General features: G+C 48.1%; 2 pseudogenes across 2 annotated transcripts, besides 4 other annotated features; both read left to right on the top strand.

Annotated features, from left to right (window-relative positions):
• The first annotated feature begins 1,877 nt into the window (after positions 1 to 1,877).
• GOLGA2P5 (GOLGA2 pseudogene 5) lies at positions 1,878 to 18,830 on the top strand (annotated as a pseudogene). Of its 2 annotated transcripts, NR_036632.1 has the most exons (10): positions 1,878 to 2,109; positions 4,234 to 4,284; positions 13,352 to 13,619; positions 15,253 to 15,663; positions 16,018 to 16,263; positions 16,348 to 16,423; positions 17,144 to 17,224; positions 17,482 to 17,693; positions 17,965 to 18,056; positions 18,163 to 18,830. The product of NR_036632.1 is annotated as a GOLGA2 pseudogene 5, transcript variant 1 (transcript). The 2 variants fall into 2 exon arrangements; NR_024261.2 differs by lacking the exons at positions 13,352 to 13,619; positions 15,253 to 15,663; positions 16,018 to 16,263; ... (3 more) ...; positions 17,965 to 18,056; positions 18,163 to 18,830 and adding exons at positions 4,554 to 4,656; positions 6,022 to 6,297; positions 6,588 to 6,769; ... (2 more) ...; positions 8,585 to 8,890; positions 9,081 to 10,171.
• Positions 8,693 to 9,193: an enhancer, noted in NCBI's record as "H3K4me1 hESC enhancer chr12:100559806-100560306 (GRCh37/hg19 assembly coordinates)". NCBI's record gives its function as "activates a minimal SCP1, AML or CMV promoter by ChIP-STARR-seq in primed H9 embryonic stem cells {active_cell/tissue: H9 hESC(primed)}" and the evidence as "EXISTENCE:reporter gene assay evidence [ECO:0000049][PMID:30033119]".
• Positions 11,287 to 12,019: an enhancer, noted in NCBI's record as "NANOG-H3K27ac-H3K4me1 hESC enhancer chr12:100556980-100557712 (GRCh37/hg19 assembly coordinates)". NCBI's record gives its function as "activates a minimal SCP1, AML or CMV promoter by ChIP-STARR-seq in primed H9 embryonic stem cells {active_cell/tissue: H9 hESC(primed)}" and the evidence as "EXISTENCE:reporter gene assay evidence [ECO:0000049][PMID:30033119]".
• On the top strand, positions 16,456 to 16,719 carry RN7SL176P (RNA, 7SL, cytoplasmic 176, pseudogene; annotated as a pseudogene).
• Positions 17,075 to 17,963: an enhancer, noted in NCBI's record as "H3K4me1 hESC enhancer chr12:100551036-100551924 (GRCh37/hg19 assembly coordinates)". NCBI's record gives its function as "activates a minimal SCP1, AML or CMV promoter by ChIP-STARR-seq in primed H9 embryonic stem cells {active_cell/tissue: H9 hESC(primed)}" and the evidence as "EXISTENCE:reporter gene assay evidence [ECO:0000049][PMID:30033119]".
• Positions 17,964 to 18,853: an enhancer, noted in NCBI's record as "H3K4me1 hESC enhancer chr12:100550146-100551035 (GRCh37/hg19 assembly coordinates)". NCBI's record gives its function as "activates a minimal SCP1, AML or CMV promoter by ChIP-STARR-seq in primed H9 embryonic stem cells {active_cell/tissue: H9 hESC(primed)}" and the evidence as "EXISTENCE:reporter gene assay evidence [ECO:0000049][PMID:30033119]".

The raw sequence follows: 19,285 nt of genomic DNA, 5'->3' as shown, positions 1-19,285 counted from the left end.
ATTATGAAGGTGAAAAAATTTCAAAACTTTTAATTTCATGTTGAATGCAATTTGAAAATATAACCAATGATTCCATTTTTTTTCTAATAAGTTTGGACATTCAGATCTACTTGATCTTTTATTATAGAACTCCTACTGTGCCTGAGACTTACATTGTGAAGATCCTTTTCTAAAACTTTAGATGTAAGAGGATGTAAATGGTATTGTGTGAGATCAGGCTGGATGAGAACTGTTACCTGTAAATACACTTTTTAGACTAAATCTCTGATTGCCACTTGTTTTCTAATTTAACTCATAAAAATAAAACACATTGGATGGAGGGTGGAAGTAGGAAGGAGATTTATGTCTTTTAATTGCATGTCATTGTTTCATATCAAGACAGAACATATAGCATCCCTGGCTTTGGACCTACAGAAGGAAACACATTTTTCTACCTGCTGTATGCCAGAGGTTCTTGAACACCTGGAGGGTTTATTGAAGCACAGATTGCTGGGCCCTACTCCAGAGTTTCTGATTCATCACTTCTAGGGTGGGGCCTGATAATTTGCATTTGTAAAAAGTTCTTAGCTGCTGCTGGTCCAGAGACTACATTTTTGAGAACCACTCTTGTACACTAACTAACTACAAATTGTAGAACTCTAGAAAAAAGCTTAGTTTGGTTTGGGATAAGAAGCACAAAGGTTATGGATCAAATCATGAAAGCTTCAACCATTGATACCAACCTAGTGTGGAATTCACATAACAAGCAATACACAATGACATAACACAGTTCTTGGTTTTCATGATTGTAAGTCATAGCCAACTATTGAGTGAGAAATTCAGATTCATTTACAAGGTTTAGAGATTCCAGGTGATTCTAGAAAAATAGAATTTAGTGATTAACCCCATGAGAGTAGGAGTTATTTATGTCCTTTTTCTCTCCCCTATCACTTAGCATTTAGCCTTACTTTAGAAGGGCCCTGTATTTGCTTTAAACTGTTAAGGAGCTTTGAATGCTTATTAAATTGAAAGCTTTGTTTATTTATTTATTTATTTATTTATTTAATTTATTTTTGTGAGTTGGAGTCTTGCTCTGTCACCCAGGCTGAAGTGCAGTGGCGCGATCTCGGTTCACTGCAACCTCTGCCGCCCGGGTTCAAGTGATTCTCCTGCCTCAGCCTCCCATGTAGCTGGAATTACAGGTGCCCACCCCACCACACCTGGCTATTTTTTGTATATTTTGTAGAGACAGGGTTTCACCATGTCAGCCAGGCTGATCTCGAACTCCTGACCTCAGGTGATCCACCTGCCTCAGTGTCCTAAAGTGCTGGAATTACAGACGTGAGCCACCATGCCCAGCCCAAAAGCTTTATGTTTTTAAAGATATTAGACATGTTTCTTGTGTAAAAAAAAATCTTAACAATAATGTAGGAGAATAAGAGAAACTTTTTCCAAAAAAGAGAAATCACTATGATTATTTTGTCTCATTGGAATGTTGGATAACGTAGTCTGCTTCATTAATCATCAAGCGTGCTATGGATTTTTCCATTTTTACAGGATTTGTACCTCAATTGATGGAATATTGGTAATTCTTCTACTCCATTTGAAGATGAAAAATAAAGGCCAAAATCATAGGCCTGGCACAGAAGCTGGATAATGAAGACAGCTCCGGAGGAACACATAGATACACACACATATAGACACACACATATATAAAGTACACAGACATATTATTTTTAAAGTTTATTTTTTAAAGTTTTAAAGTTTCTAAAATGAAAGCTGGCCCTGCCTCTCTCCCAGAGTGAGCGGAGACAGCGGTTGCATGAGCAGCTTTCCTTGTGAGGCCACAGGTCCCTCTGGACACGCTGCTGCCTGACCATGCCTCCTTTCCCTTTCAGCTTTCTCATAGACCAATGGGCTTGGAGCATTAAGGCCATACCCCTATTATGCATTCTAGTGCGACCTTGTTTACACCTCCCCTGGCTCAGTCACACAGCTGTGTGGTAGGCTACTAGAAGTGTTTAGTAGTTGTCACTGGGATCATGCTGATGTGGCCCCATCCCCGCCTCTCCCTGCCCTGTGATATCGGAGGAAACCTGACAGAGCAAATTGGCCATGGCCAAGAAAAAGGTAAATGCACCAGGTTGTGGCCCACCGTCCCAGGCTCCCTCCAATGGCAGGACTGCTGCCAGAGTCTGTGGCACTCCTGAGGCACACTGGGCTGGGCCCCACCCAGTGCCTCTGGGCTCCCCCAACCAAAATCTTGTCAGCCAGCCCCTCCCCCTCAGCAGCCCAGCCTCTGCCCTCACCAGTCGCACCAGGGTGACTTTGGGTGGGTGACTTCTGGGGCTCCCTGCTCCATACTCAGTCTTCACCTTCTGCTGCCCCAAGCCTGACCTCCCTGGGGTCTTTGGGCTGACATCTCCAAGGTCCTGGGTCCTGGCCCTGCACCCACCTCCCACATCTCAAAGTGGTGACTCGGGCCTCATGCTGATAGCCAGCCCCCACCCCAGGGAGGAGTAAAATATAGTGACATCACAGTCCCCCTAGGAACTGTCATTACTGCCACGAGACTGGCCTTTGATCTTAGGACCCAGTCCACTAAGTGTTCTCACCCTGCTTCTGGTTCCTCTGGTCACAGCACAGATTTCCAGCTGGAAGGGGAATGGGGACTATGGGATCTAGGAACGAAAGGTTTCAAGCTGCCTTACTCCCTTAGCATAGACATTGACAATGTGAAAAGCCCACACTTTCCCCATGAGCTCAAAACGTTGACAGTGTCTCTGGGTAGCAATAGGAGAATGGGTTTGGTTTGTTTTTCTCCCAGACTTCTACTCTCCAGAGAGTTTAGCTTTTTTTTTTTTTTTTTTGAGTTTTCCACCTCATATTCGAATTCTCCATGGTTCTGGGACCAGAATGCCCTTCAATCAGTGGTCTCTGGAGTAAGATCTGCTTATCTCCTGTGGAACAGATCTTGGGAAATTGAATTTGACAGTTTGAATCTTCCTAATATCATCTCAACCTAGGGTACTTTGAGTGCCTGGGGTTGTTGCTTCTTGGGGAAGTGCTAGCCTGACTAGTTGTCAGGAGCCCTGTATTTTTACCTTGATTGAGTCCCTAATTTGTTCTTTGATTCTGAACAAGCCACCTCTTCTCCTTGGGCTTGCATTTCCTGAGGAGGTAAAGTTAGAGAATATCAAAGGTCTCTGTTAGCTCTCAGAGTCCAAGGTTTAAAGGCCCACTAGAGCTGGGCATGGTTGCTCATGCCTGTAATCCCAGCACTTTGGGAGGCTGAGGCAGGCGGATCAGGAGGTCAGGAGTTCAAGACCAGCCTGGCCAACACAGTGAAACCCCGTCTCTATTAAAAATACAAAAATTAGCCAGGCATGGTGGCACGCACCTGTAGTCCCAGCTACTTGAGAGGCTGAGGCAGGAGAATCGCTTGAACTTGGGAGGTGGAGGTTGCAGTGAGTCGAGATGGTGCCACTACACTCCAGCCTGGGCAACAGAGCAAGACTCCGTCTCAAAAAAAAAAAAACAAAAACAAAAAAGCCCACTAGAATGAAAACCTCAGGGCCAAGGGCTCCTGTCTGTCTTTTTCTGTCTTGTATCCCTGCTATTAAGAACCATACCTGGCACATATGTGCTCAGTAAATGTTTGTTGAATGAATGCACCTTTCTAAATTACAAGCTGGCAGAAGGGTGGGCTTTTCTCACACTTCATCTCTAGAGGTTTATGTTACTGTCCCTTTGAGAGACTCCAGATTCAGACTTTCAGTTCTATGGCTGTGGGCCAAAACCAACAAAGACCCAAATCCTCTTTCCTTGGGAGCTTGAGGAGAGTTTACCAGTTCATGTTTCCACTGAGTCTGAGAACTTTGCCTTTAAAATCCATTCCTGGCTGCTGCCTACCCCTTCCTGATCTGGGGAATAGAGTCAAGGGTGCCATCCTCAGTCACCTTCTTTTAACTCTCTCTAAAGAAACAACAGAACCAAGAAATGGTGGATCAGTTGGAAGAAGTAACTCTTTGCTTACAACATGACTGCTGGGTTTGGGAGGCACTCAGATGTAGAGACCTCAGTCTTGTCTCACCTAGTCCAGCCTGGGGAAGAAGGCTCACCCCTCAGATTCCACCCCATCCCCATAAGGTCCCTGATAACTTGGTCCCATGGGTGGAACTGTCCTGGGGCATGTCCCTTGCTGTACCATCTCTGCCTCCCCCTAGTAAGAGCTCTGTCTTCCTCTTCCTATAGGAAAAGAAAGAGTGCCACCAAAAGCAGGGAGCCCTAAGGGAGCAGTTACAGGTGAGTAGAGAGTGTGAAGTTCCCTCCTGTCCTCTGGAGAATGTTTCTTCCCTTCTCTATCAGCTTTTGGCTTTTCTACCAAAGGTTCACATTCAGAATGTAGAAATCCTTGTATCAGAGAAAGCTGAGTTACAGCCTGGCTTACACTCAGCATGCTGCCAGGCAGAAAGAAGGTCGGAATCTGGGCACCCCATCATCCTTCAACTTGGCACTTTGACAGGCCATTAGGGGGAGTCCTTTGGGCCCCATCTGAACCTCTCTCATTCCAGGAGTCTGAGGATCTGGCCAGCCGCCTTTAGTATTCCAGGCAGTGTGTGGGAGAGTTGGAGCAGGCTCTCTGCTGTCTCCACACAGCAGAAGAAAGCAGACAGGGTGAGTCCAACCGCCTGCCCCATCCCCTGGCAGCCTGGCTTCCCAGGTGGCGGAGTGAGCCTAAAGGTTCCTTCTGCAGGATGGAATGTCCTGCCCAGAAGGCAGCATGGGCCATTTCTTGCTGCTTTTGTGTGTGGTTGTTAGACGTAGCCTGGGGCTGAGTCCGCTTCTGTGGGTGAGTTAGGGGCCCTGTGGGGAGCGAGCACTGGACATAGAGCTTGGAGGCCAAGTGCTCACCCTGCCCTTAACTGGCTTTGGCCTTTGCCAAGTGCTAAGTGGGGAATATGGTACTTGTACTGTGAAGGTACAGAAGAGTATCTTTAGTATGTTACCATTTGTGTAGAGAGAGGGAACGTGTGTGTGTGTGTGTGTGTCTACATACATACTATGATCATATACATAAAACATATCTGCAAGGATTCATAAACTCAGGAGGGTGTTAGTGGGAAAGGGGCGGGAGAGCATTAGGACAAATACCTAATGCATGCGGGGCATAAAACCTAGATGACGGGTTGATAGGTGCAGCAAACCACCATGGCACATGTATACCTATGTAACAAACCTGCACATTCAGCACATGTATCCCAGAACTTAAAGTAAAATAATAAATAAATAAAACACAAAAAACTCAGGAGAGAGGAACAGGGTGGCTGGGCGATATTTCCCTTCTGTACCTTCTGAGCTTTGGACTATGTGAATGCATCATCCTTTCAAAAAGTGAACAAGAAATTGATTTCCCCATTCCTGTCTGTGCCCCCACCCCCAGTGAACAAATGGGCTTGGAGAATCAGATATACCTGGGGTTTCAAATCCCAGCTCTGTCTGAGTGATCTTAGGCAAGCACTTAACCTCTAATGCCCCATGTTTTTTGTTGACACAATAGAGGTAATAATAGTAGTTGTCTCACATGGTGGTTGTGAGGATTAAATGGGATTGTTAGCATGGTGGCTGGTGAAGCACTCAATAAAGGTTCAAACCGTGGTAGTAATAACGGTAAAACAATAGCAATATTACGTAATCCCTCTGGGCCTCTGTTAGCCAGCTGTAAATTCAATCTCTTTCCCTGTCCCTTCACGCTTACTAAGTTCTTTTAAAAACAAATGAGACTGACTGGGCGCGGTGGCTCATACTTGGAATCCCGCACTTTGGGAGGCCTAGGCGGGCGAATCATGAGGTCAGGAGTTTGAGACTAGCCTGGCCAACACAGTGAAACCCTATCTCTACTAAAAATACAAAAATTAGCTGGGTGTGGTGGTGGGCACCTGTAAATTCCAGCTACTCAGGAGGCTGAGGCAGGAGAATCGCTTGAACCTGGGAGGCCGAGGTTGCAGTGAGCTGAGATCATGACACTGCATTTCCACCTAGGTGACGGAGCTGGACTCCATCTCAAAACAAACAAACAAACAACAACAAAAAAAAAAACAAATGAGACCATGGGCTTGGAAATGCCTTGAAAAAATGTCAAGTGTGATTCAGAGTGAGGAAGTATTACTGTGGAATAGTTACTGTAGCTATTGTTACCGGTCGGCCAACTGCTCCTCTGCCTGCTATATCCTGACTTAACCTTGGTCTGTATTTGCCGTACAACAAGGAGTTAACCAAAGAGAGAGACGCCCTCAGGCTGGAGTTATACAAGAACAGGTAGCATGGGGGAAGGTGGGATGGGAGGTCTGGGGGCCCTTAGCATGGGTGATGTGCTGGGAGGTTGGGGGGTACAGGTAAGCATGGTGAGGTGGTCATACAGGTTTGCATATGTGCACAGTTAAGCTGTAGTGCTGGTGACTCATGGTGTAGCCTTGGGCAACTCATGCCTTCTCTTGGGCCTGCCATCTGTGACTTTGGATTCCTAGGGTTCCTTCCAATGCCGCGGTTCTGTGTTGGTTAGGCAAGGGTGCAGGGTTGATCACTAAAGCAGTCCTTTCTGTTCTTAGTTCATTCCTTTCTCTACTGCTTCTGGCCATAACCGAAGCAATGAGGACCTGAAGCAGGAGAAATCAGAATTGGAAGAGAAGCTTCAAGTCCTGGTGACTGAGAAGGCTGGCATGCAGCTTATTTTAGAAGAGCCGCAAAAGAAATTACAAATGATGGCACTCCTGCTTCAACAGGCTAGGGGGTGCGGCTCCGGGGGTGGTTGGAGCCCCATCCAGCTGGGGCCATGGTCTAGGGATCATGTGGGGTATGGGGAGGCTCTAGCCAAGCGTTGGAAAATTTGGGTCCTTGTTCTGATCCTACCATAGAATCCTCTAGAGAGTGCTAAAAATCTACAAATTGGGGCCCTACCATAGTCCTGGGTAATCAGAATCTCAGGGTTAGGGCTTAAAAAAAAATTTTTTTTTAAAGCATCATAGATGAAAACCATTATTTTATAAATTACATTTGTATGGCTAGCTAATGAGTCTGTATACTTCCATCTGACGTTCAAGCCAACACTTTCACTATTCCATGGGTAATAATAGAGAGTAGAGATTTTTTTTATTTGAAATGGGGTCTCTCTCTGTCACCCAGGCTGCAGTGCAGTGGTGTGATCTCGGCTCACTGTAGTCTCTACCTCTCAGGCTCAAGCGCTCCTCCTGCCTCAGCTTCTCAAGTAGCTGGGACCATAGGTGCACACCACCACGCCTGGTTAATTTTTGTATTTGTAGAGATGGGGCTTCACCATGTTGCCCAGGCTGGTTTTGAACTCCTGAGCTCAAGTGATCCACCTCCCTCAGCCTCCCAAAGTGTTGGGATTCAGGCGTGAGCCACCATGCCCAGCCTGAGATCTTTTTAAAATTATTTAATTTTTTATTTCTAAAGCAAAGAAACTTGACAGCAGAGTCGTATTGACTGAGTTGTACATTAAGCCTAGCCCTAGCCCTTTTAAGGTGCACTGTGTGGAACGGCCCAGGCTCCCCAAATCTAAACTTCTCACTCTTCACCATCCAGTTTTCAAGGCACTGTGAAGCCCCTGATGCGAAACAGCAGTTACCGCAGGCCATGGAGGAGCGGGCACAGCTGAAAGCACATCTAGGGCAGGTGAAGCTTTGCAGGGGAGGGATGTGGAAGGAAGATGACCCCAGGTGGCCAGGAGCAGGTGAGGACCAGTGACAGCCCTTTGTAACTTTTGTACCCATTCTTTAAGGTAATGGAGTCAGTTAGATAACTACAAACGGAGAGAGATACGTATGCTGAAAATCTGAAAGGAGGGAGGGCCATGTGGTGTCAGAGGAAGCAACAGATGTCGGAGCAGGTGAGACCTGACCCTTCAGCCCCCCACCTTAGATAGATCACTTGATCTTTCTAGGCATCTGTAAAATGGGAAGACTATAGCCAGAGTTGGTCATGGGTCTGGGCTGTGTGAAGGCAAGGTCAGAGAGGGAGATGGTAGCCTATCCAGCCACCAGCCCTTCTCTTCAGTGCCCTTTCCCTCTGTATTTTGGGCAGGTGTGCACATTGAGAGAGGAGAAGGAGGATAGCATGAGTTGGGTATAAGAACAGTAGATGAGCTTGGCTGAAGTGAGTAACCAGATGGGTAAGCGGGGGCTGTGGTGACCTGGGAGCAGGACTGGTGTCAGAGGGCTGTGGGGGTGGCTTAGAATGCTCCAGGGAGGTGGGTGGATGGAGGGCTTTGGGGCAGAGGGAGAGAGGTCTGGGGCAGAGGGAGAGAGGTCTGTGCCAGGAGTTGGCAAGTCTGGTAATCTCCATGAGAATCAGTGTCCCCATCAGCAAAGAGGGAAGCGTGTCCATTGTCAGCCATCCACAGTTGTCTCTATCACAAAGTGGCTTGGAAGATTGGCTAATATCCGGGTGCAAGGAATCATTAGCAGGGAGGCCAAGTTTGGGGAGCCTGAGAGGAGCTGTGGACCAAGAGGAGGGTTTTTTTGAGAATCGAGAGGCCCTTACTGTCTGCTTCCCTTCTTACCTGAACCCCTGCCCCTGGAACTCCCAGCAGGGCCCTCCAAGGTGGAGCAGCAGCTACAAGCAGAGGCTGACCACCTGCAGAAGGAGCTGGAGAGTCTGGCAGCTCCGAGCCCAGGAGCAAGACACTGAGGGCTTCAGTCACCCGAACCAGGAGTAGGAGGAGAGGCTGCTGGAGCTGGAGCAGGTGGCCGAGCTCTTGCGGGAGCAGGCAGAGTCACGCAGGCAAATCCTGGAGACCATGCAGAACAAATGCACCACCATCAGCCACGTGCTCACCCAGAACCACAAGCTCAAAGAGCAGCTGTCTCCGCTGCAGAACGGATTCATAAAGCTGGTGCGTGACCCCATCTGGAAAGCCTGCTCTCCTCCCTAGCACTCCCGGCCTTTGTTTTCCCACCCATAAAATGAGGCAGTGTACCCCTAATGTGAGATGGTAATTCTGAAGGTACCTGTGAACCAGAGCCCTGCTCTGATGGCTGTGGGGAAGAGGGAATGATTTTTCTAACCTGCCTCCACCCTTCCAGGTGCCACGGGAGGCAGACACCAAGTTCTGGGGTCTCCAGCTGCAGTGGGTGGCCGCCAATTGCTTCTCTCTGTCCAGACTAATGAGAACATGGAGATCACCAGTGCACTGCAGTTGGAATAGCACGTAAAGAGGGAGCTGGGAAAGAAGCTGGGCAAGCTAAAGGACATGGTAACCCTGCCCCATCCAAGAAGAGCTGGAAGGCGGGCACCAGCCTCTGGGGAGGGGAGGTGTGAAGCCAGAGGCAGCTCCAGCCTGGGGGACAGGTGACCCCAGCACCCTCCAGGGCAGTCCTGTGACTGTTTCTTGCTTCCCGCCCTCTGACATTTAGTGGTGGGTTCGTTCTTCCTAGGTCTGGACATCATCATCCCAGCTGGAGTCATGGAGCCTCCCAAACATAGGGAAAGAGATGGTGGTATAAGAGGTTCCTTAGAGTCAAACTAGATTCCGGCCTTGGCTCCACTGGTCACCTACTTTTCATCTCTAAGTCTCGGTTTCTTTAACTTAAAAGGGAAGTTAGCACCTTCCTCTTGGAGGTGCTGAGGATTAAATGAGATAATACGTGGAAAGCATTAGGCATGTAGCACAGTTAGCAGATGGTGGTTGGCTCCCTCTGCTTTTCCATCAGTCTGTGGCCTAGTTTAAATGGTGGGAGGAAGGGTGTGAGATTTAAGGCTGGTTGTAAGGGATCAGTCAGTGTAGTTGGAAAAATTGTAAGATGAAGTTATAGGATATAGACACAAACCTTCCTGGAAGGCCAGAAAGTCTGCATAGCTTCAATAAAGGATTTGGCTGAAAGCAGCGTAATCCCCTTTACCTTGAGTTGATAGCAATAGAGCAAATAACATGGGAACGTGGGGGAGTTTATTGAATAGCTTGTTTACTCATGTGGTCCTAAGACCAACCTTTGATTATCCACGGGTGCATGATTGCTCTCTACTCGGTGGTCGGCAAATTTAATTACCCACAGGTGTGTTGACTCAAAGCCTCTGTCATTAAATCTATGCTGAATAAATGCCGTCAGGGCCAGCTAGTCAAGGTGCACAACTCTTTTTGTGCGTGGTGTGGCCCCTTAGCTGCTCTGTCACTGAATATTGGTGTCTGAGTATGTTATTCATCTGCCGTGCAACTGGGGTTTGCAGGACAGACCCCTGCAAGTGGTGTCCCGCGTGAGGCACACTGTGAAGGATCACAACGGACCCCTCGAAAACAAAGGTGAAAAGAACTGCACAGTCAATAAGTCAGTAAGTCATTGATGCCCGCTCGGAATTTCCAAGTTTGGCGGGGATTGTTCAGGCTAGGGTTTCATCATGGGACAACAGTTATCAGCTCAACAGGAACAGTATATAAAAGTATTGAAGCAGCTGCTTAAAACTAGTGGAGCCTCATTTTCACAGGCTCAATTAAGGGACCTAATGCAAACTGTTGTCTCACATAACCCATAGTTCCCAGAAAAAGGAACGCTAGACGTAGAGCTCTGGGAACAAGTGGGGAGAAATCTTAATCAGCATCATGTGCAAGGGCAATGGGTCCCAGTATCATCTTTAATGCTATGGGCCTTAGTCAGGGCAGCCCTGGCTCCATTATACACAGAAGAGCCTAAAAAGGGGAAGGAGGAGGAACCGTCACCTGCTTTACCACCTCCTTTTCCCTCAGCCCCAATATCGCCAGGCCAAAATAACAAAGAGGAAATGGAGGTTTTGCCTGAGCCCCCTCCTCCAATAAATAGGAAAAAAGACAAGAGCTATGCTACAGCTATGGGACCCTTTCTTAGGCAAGAGGCATTAAGTGGGGAGCTCTTAGCCTGCCTGGTAATACAAGATTGACAGGGCAATTGGGTATATAAACCCATTTCTTTTAACATTTATAAAAAGTTAAGAAAAAGCATTAGAGGCTGAAACCGCGTGGCCAAATGGGTGGTAGGCAGAAGGAAATACTTGGCAGCAAAGGAAGCTCGCAGACCTGGAGCCAGCAAGTGCTTCCAGGAACTCAGCCTGCACAGAGGCAGCAGTGACAAGGAGCCAGGCGCAGCACACCAGAGCTGGCCTGATAGGGAGGGGCAGGAGGCGTGCACGAAGGTCCGCCCAGCGGCAGCAGGGTGAGGGAGCAGCACAGACAAAAGGTGGCACAGACAAAAAGCAGCGCCTGAGCAAGCGCAACATGACCGCCGCCCCGGGACCCGCCGGCTAGACTCTCTGGCTCCGCGGGTGGCCCATGGCAAAATTTCATGTGTTCCTTGTATACAAGCGACATCCCAGATTATAATTCTCTGCTAAGATTTAAGTACAATTTAAGAATTTAAAACACCTCTTTCTAATAATGGCCACTGTTGCTTTTACACTATTCCCCTGGCAAAGCAAGACAGAAAAATTTGCATTTACAATACCAGCTATCAATATTGAAAGGTCAGCTTGCCGATTTCATTGGAAAGTGCTTCCTCAAGGAATGCTAAACAGTGCTGCCATGTGTCAGTATCATGTAAATCAAGCTTTGTTCCCCAGTAGAAAAGAATTTCCTCATTGCAAGGTTATTCATTTTATGGATGATATTCTACTAGCAGCCCCAGTGGAGCCAGTGCTTTTAAGTTTATATACCTCTGTCATAAAGAATGCACAGCTAAGTGGTTTAATCATTGCACCTGAAAAAGCACAAATGTCCTCTCCTTGGAAGTATCTTGGGTACATACTTCCTGGTCAGTAAGACCTCAAAAGGTTAAATTAAATACTAGCAACTTACACACCTTAAATGATTATCAGAAATTACTAGGTAATTTTAACTGGCTTCACCCCACCTTGGGCATTCCTACTTATAAGCTGCAAAACCTGTTTTCTATCTTAAAGGGTAACACAGCCCTGGATTCTCCCAGATATTTAACCCCTGCAGCAAAAAAAAAAAAAAAAAAAAAAAAAAGATGGAAGAAATAGAACAGGCTATTTCTCAAAGACAACTAAATCTCATAGATCCAGAATATTCTGTTCAATTGTTTATTTTTATTTTCCCCACTAAACACTCCCCTACAGGGTTAATAGGACAAATGGCCCCAGAGCTATGCTTTCTAGAATGGATTTTTTGCTCACATACCGAGACCAAAACACTATCTCCCTATATCCAGTTAATCAGTAAAGTCATATATTCAGGCCACCGATAGTTCACTCCCCCATACCTAATGCTTTAACACTGTTTACGGATGGTTCTAGTAAACATGGAAAAGTGGCAGTCTGGTGGAGACCACATAATTCCATCAATCGATCTGGATTTACTAACACTCAGAGAGCTGAGGGTGGGGCCTTGATATTGGCTTTGGAAACTTTTTCCACTCAGCCCCTCAATATTGTTAGTTACTTGGCTTACTCTGTTTATTTACTGCAGAACCTTGAGACAGCCCTAATTAAGTCCACTCTGGAGCCCACCCTGTGTGCTCTTTGACTTCAGCAATTGCTAGATCAGTGTACACATCCTATTTTTATTATATTCAGGGCCACAGCTGACTGCCTGGCCCACTGGCTTATGGCAATGATGAAGCAGACCTTCAGGTTATGACATCAGTGCTTGACCAAGCCACACAATCGCATCAATTTTTCCACCAAAACTGGAGAAACTTGTCTAAACAATTTCAACTTACCCAGAGGCTGGCTAAACAAATTATCCTGCAATGCCGAGATTGCCAGCTCACAGGCACATACCCTCCTTCAACCCTAGAGGATGGGAACCTAATAAGTTATGGCAAACAGACGTTACACACATCCCTGAATTTGGAAAACTTAGATACGTACATGTATCCATTGATTTAATTAGTGCAAATGCCCTTCCTGGAGAGTCTACTGGATATGTCACTAAACATCTTCTTTTAACTTTTGCATTTATGGGGCAACCCACAAAAATTAAAACTAATAATGATCTAGCTTATGCCAGCTCACAATTTCAACAATTTTGTCACATGTGGAACATCCAACATTCCACAGGCATCCCGTATAACCCCCAAGGACAAGCCATAGTAGAATGTGCCCACTCCACCCTTAAAAATATGCTCAAAAAACAAAAAAGGGGAGTATGGGTAAGGACCCTGCAGCATTATTGGCACAAGCCTTATTTACCCTTAATTTTTAAAATTTAGATGACAAATTTCAGTCCATTGTAGAAAAGCACTTTGCTAAAACCTCTCAAGACATAAAACTGCAGTTTTATGGAAATATGTGAACAGTAATGTATGATGTGGTCCAAATGAATTGTTAACTTGGGGAAGAGGATATGCTTGTGTTCACACCCCCTCAGGTCCTCTTTGGATTCCAGCACGACGCATCAAACCATACCATGACGTGACTAGGACCCAACCTAGAAATGAAGGAACTGACCCTACAGGACTCACAACCCTGGATAATGCAGTGTCCTCGGACGGCAACAAGCTCTGGACATTACCTGGGGGATGCTGAAGGCGGCAACTGAGGAGGCTGAATGAATCCTGCTCCAGACACAGACACCATTCACTCCAGATAATTTGTTGCTTGCTATGCTCTCTGTTGTACATTGCAACTCGCATAGGGTATTGATACTTCATATGCTCTTGCTTTGTCTGCAACCTGTACCTGGTGCACTCTATTGGGCTCATATTTTAGATCCACCTTTCTTTCACCCTGTCACCTGGGCAGACACCTCCTTCTCAGCCTTTAATAACATAACTGCTTGGCTAGGAGGGATAGATTTACCCCCAGTGGGGTCCCTCATTAATGGCACACATTAAACTAAGGTGCCAGGTAACACTACATATCATTCCACTATCCTCCCACTGTGTGTAAGTTATAAAGGTTCTAACCCTGTGTACCTGCCCAAACACAATTATGGCTACATCATGGCAAAGGAGATGCCTTAACATTCCTAGCTGCAGGTAGCCTCAAACCGGGCGATGCAATCAATGCCACTTTCCCAAACATTCCTTCCTGTGTTAAAGAACAAAGCCGGGAAAGTAATGGATTCCACTTTAGCTGGGAGGTCTGTCATGGGGAATAAGCCCATATGCTCCAGTTAGGCAATTATAACATCTTAGACTGGAGCCCCCACAGCCACTTGCAGGGCAGCCTTACTAATGTCCTCATCCATCATGGCACCAATCACAGTTTCATAGCCACGTCCCATTCCCCTATGATTTGGGCCTATGGGGGGATAGGATATTCCAGACCCCAAGTAAAGTCCATGCCACCCCAAGACACTTTGTGGTGCCTGGGACATCTTAGCACCTCCTTTGACACCTGGCATTGGACATATCATAATTCCAGTCACAACTATACTACAACCTTTATTCATAATCACACTGATCAGTGCCTGATTTGCACTACCCATCCATATGTTTTCCTTGTGGGAACTAATATTTCTGTTATACCCCAAAACTCCATGTTTGTGACCCAGGTGCAGGGACAGCCTTGGTTCACCTCATGTATTACTAATTACAATATATCTAATTATAAATATTACTAGAGTCGTGGTATTAAGGAGACAATCTGAGGCATTCCCACCAGTCAATTTGACATGCGGTTGGCAAGGTTCCTCTTCCCTTCCCACTTTAGATCGTGCCCTGTCCCAGGTCAGACCCGAAAGATTCATAGGCACACTTACAGCCTTCATAGTCTCAGCCATAGTCATCCTAGCAACTGCTAGTGTGGCTGTAGCATCTATTACTGAATCAGTACAAACAGCTGCTTTTGTAGATAATTTGGCCAGAAATGTTTCTAATGAACTTCTCTTACAGCAAGGTATAGATCAAAAGATTCTTGCACATCTGCAAGCCCTCGAGGCTGCCTTTGGAATATGTGGGGGAGCGACAAGATGCACTGGCATTCCAACAGCAATTAAACTGTGACTGGGAGCATAAACATATCTGTGTCACTTCTCTACCATGGAATCAGTCAATGCATAGTTGGGATGAGGTGAAACAACACCTCTGGGGAACCTTTCATGACAATTTAACAGCAGACATAAGGCAACTTAAAAATACAATTTTAGAATCCCTTCAAACTGTAGATCTACACACCCAACAAACAGCCATATGGAAGGGTGTGTGAGATTATCTCTCCTGGATAGACCACCGCTCCTGGGGGCGGGGGGTGGTGGGTCACTCCTTGATTAGAAAAGAATGTTGCTAATTATACTCATGTTTGTCTTATGTTATTTACTAATTTTAGGATGCAAAGCCGGAATAAGAGCAATGACCACCATGCCTGACAGACCTGTTGCTGCGCACACCTGTACTCTCCAATGAACAAGACTGAATGCAAAAAAAACAGAAAATGGGGAGATTTAGGGGATCAGTCAGTGTGGTTGGAAAATTGTAAGATGAAGTTACAGGATATAGACACAAACCTTCTTGGAAGGCCAGAAGGTTTGCATAGCTTCAGTAAAGGATTTGGCTGAAATCCTTTTTACCTCTAATCCCCTTTACCTTGAGTTGATAGCAATAGAGCAAATAACATGGGAATGTGGGGGAGTTTATCTGAATAGCTTGTTTACTCATGTGGTCCTAAGACCAACCTTTGATTATCCGCAGGTGCATGATTGCTCTCTACCTGGGGGCAGGGGGAGTTAATTACCCACAGGTGTGTTGACTCAAAGCCTTTGTCATTAAGTCTGTGCTGAATAAATGCCATGAGGGCCAGCCAGTTAAGGCCTGTGGCCGCCACAACTCTTTCTGTGCATGGCCCGGCCCCTTAGCTGCTCTGTCACTGAATATCGGTGTGAGTATGTTATTCATCTGCTGTGCGGCTGGGGTCTGCAGGACAGACCCCTGCAGCTGGGGAAGGAGGCATGGGACTCTGGGAAAGGGAGGCAGTCATTTAGGCCTGGAGCCAAGGGGCCAGGGGCCTGGGTAGGCAACAGAGCCACACAGTGACCTTGCTACCCTATTTATGGGCCAGCCACCACCTGCCCTCATGCCCAGGGTCTTTCTGCAGGTGGAGCTGAAGAGCCAGGAGGCTCAGAGTCTGCAGCAGCAGCAGGACCAGTACCTGGGTCATCTGCAGCAGTATGTGGCCACCTATCAGCAGCAGGTGGTCACCTATCAGCAGCTGACCTCTGAGGAGGAGGAGCTGCACAACCAGTTACTGCTGCAGACCCAGCTCGTGGACCGGCTGCAGCAGCAGAAAGCTCAAAGCAAAGCTGTGGCCAAGATGGGCTGCCAAGAGTTGCGGGAGACCCAGGTGAGGGAGTTGCTCAGGGCAGGGCCCTGAGGGTAACGACCTGGCAACCTTTGTGCCTTCTCACTCCCTTTCTTGGCCCCTTAGGAGCACCTGGAAGCTATCAGCCAGCAGAACCAGCAGCCTCAGGCCCAGTTGAGCCTCATGGCTCTCCCTGGGGAAGGTACCGGAGACTGCTCACAGGAAGAGGAGAGAGCCCCAGGAGGAAACGGGAACTGTTAGCAGCATAGGATTGAGGAGCTGAAACAGACTTTTAGAACAGCTGGTCATTATGCCAACCAGGTGTCCACACTAAGTTTGGCACCAATATGGTGACCTTCTGGGAGCAGGGGACCACCAGGTTAGGTTGCCTAAGGGTGGGTGAACTGGCCCAGGTCAGAAATGGAGCAGGTCGGAACTCCCATGCCTATTGGTAGTGGGACTGCACCTGGGCAACATAGCAAGATCTTGGCTCTTTAAAAAATAAAGAGGCCGGGCACGGTGGCTCATGCCTGTAATCTCAGCACTTTGGGAGCCTGAGGTGGGTGGATCACGAGGTCAGGAGTTCAATCAAGACCGACCTGGCCAAGATGGTGAAACCCCGTCTCTACTGAAAACACAAAAATTAGCCGGGTGTGGTGGCGGGCGCCTATAATCCCAGCCACTCGGGAGGCTGAGGCAGAGAATTGCTTGAACCCAGGAGGCAGAGGTTTCAGTGAGCTCAGATCATGCCACTGCACTCCAGCCTGGATGATAGAATGAGACTGTTTCAAAATAAAGAACAGCTGCTCATTCCCCACTAGGGAGGGGCTGGCCTAGGGTTACACAGTGAGGGTGGGGGCAGAGGTGGGCCCACTCTGCCCTTGTTGGGTTGTCTGAGGACCTCTCTGGCCACCCCCAACAGGAGATGGACAGTGAGGAGGAGGAGGAGGTGCCTCAGCCCATGCCAAGCATCCCGGAGGATCTAGAGAGCCAGAAGGCCATGGTGAGCCTGACTCCCCCTGCCCCACCTTTGCTGCCTCCCTCTGTGGTCCCTCCCAGACCCCCTTCTGCTCTTGGGTTCCTGGCCTTCTGATTTCTCTGGTCCCTCACCCCTTCCCTGGGAGCCAGTGGTCAGACACCATTTCACCTGTGACTAACAGGTGCATCCTCTGAGGCCCCCCAAGGCAAGGCCTGCTCTCCACCTCCCTGCCCCGTTCATCCTGTGTATCCCCCATAAGAATGCGTACCTCTTGCCTGCAGGTGGCATTTTTCAACTCAGCTGTAGCTAGTGCCGAGGAGGAGCAGGCACGGCTATGTGGGCAGCTGAAGGAGTGCACTGCCAGCGCCTGGCTCATCTGTTGGCCTCGGCCCAGAAGGAACCTGAGGCAGCAGCCCCAGCCCCAAGAACTGGGGGTGATCCCATGTGTGGGGAGACCCACCAGGCCCTGCAGGGGGCCATGGAGAAGCTGTGGGTGAGTCTTTCCTGGCATGGGCCAAGAAGGGTTGGGGCAGGAAGGTCGCTGCCTTAATGTGACCCCATTATTTTGGCTCCAGAGCCGCTTTATGGAGCTCATGCAGGAGAGAAGGTGGACTTGAAGGAGAGGGTTGAGGAACTGGAACATTGCTGCATCTAGCTGTCTGGAGAGAGACAGACACCATCGGGGAGTGGGAAGCCAGGGCACGGCAAAGAGAGCTGCACATTGGTCAGAGGGGCCCCAGCGTCTGAGTCCTGTCCTCCTGCAGGAGAGTACATCGCACTGTACCAGAGCCAGAGGGCAGTGCGGAAGGAGGAGGAGTGCATCAGCAGGCTGGCCCAGGACAAGGGAGAGGTGAAGGTAGGGCGTGGAACATCTCTGTAGGGGTGGAGGGTGGAGGGTAGAGGGGGTGGGGTTGGGGATGGTCTCAGACACAGGCAGAGCAGCTGAGCACCCCTCCCTCCAGGTGAAGCTGCTGGAGCTGGCGTGGCTTGTGGACGACTGCAACAAGTGGCATAGCAGATTCCTGGCAGCTGCCCAGAACCCTGCTGATGAGCCCACTCCAGGGGCCCCCGCCCCCCAGTAGCTTGGGGCTACTGACAAGCCAGGGTAGTGAGTAGAGTCCTCAGGCACAGTGGGCACGCAGGAGCAGGGGAGGGCTCCCACAGCACCCTGCCTCCCTCTCTCCAAAGATCTTTGTGAGGTGAGCCTTGCCAGCAGTGGGGAGTCTGCACAAGGAGAGGCGGGGAAGCATTCTCCCTGTGACAACCCCACTGAGCAGCAGATCATGCAACTGCTTCATGAGATGCAGAACCTCCAGGAGCACCCAGGCTTGGGCAGCAGCCCTTGCATTCCTTTTTTGTACCAGACTGATGAGAACAATGAGGTGAAGATCACCATCATCTAAAAGCCGGCCACTGTCAGCAAAACCTGGGGAAGTGGGGCTGGAGGCTCTGCCCCTACCATGTCCCTACCACCCCTTCCCAGTCAACCCTTTACCCTCACAGTAGCAAGCATAAGACCCCTGTCTAATGTGGGGAGACAGGTGGAGATGAGGTGAAGATCACCATAATCTAAAAGGCCACTAAATAAAAAAATAAAAAATTTTAAAAAGGTATGGGATTTTAAAAAAAATGTATGGGATTATAAAAAGTTATAGGATTAAAAATGTTATGGGATAAAAGTTATGGTATAAAAGTTATGAGAAGTTATGAAGCCAGACATGGTGGCTCACGCCTATAATCCCAGCACTTTGGGAGGCTGAGGTGGGTGGATCACCTGAGGTCTGGAGTTTGAGAGCAGTCTGACCAACACGGAGAAACCCCGTCTCTACTAAAAATACAAAATTAGCCAGGCGTGGTGGTGCATGCCTCTAATCCCAGCTACTGGGGAGGCTGAAGCAGGAGAATTGCTTGAACCAGGGAGGCAGAGGTTGCAGTGGGCCGAGATTGTGCCATTGCACTCCAGCCTGGGCAACAAGAGTGAAACTGTCTCAAAAAAAAAGTTATGAAAAGTATAAAAAAGGATAAAAGTGTGAATAAAATAAAAGCGGGCAGCTGTCAGCAAAGCCTGGAGAAGTGTGGGGCCAG

The sequence above is a fragment of the Homo sapiens genome, chromosome 12 (genome assembly GCF_000001405.40).
Source record: "Homo sapiens chromosome 12, GRCh38.p14 Primary Assembly".
Classification (NCBI taxonomy): domain Eukaryota; kingdom Metazoa; phylum Chordata; class Mammalia; order Primates; family Hominidae; genus Homo; species Homo sapiens.
The sequence above is the reverse complement of the archived record's forward strand: the minus strand, read 5'-3'. Positions and strand labels throughout refer to the sequence as shown.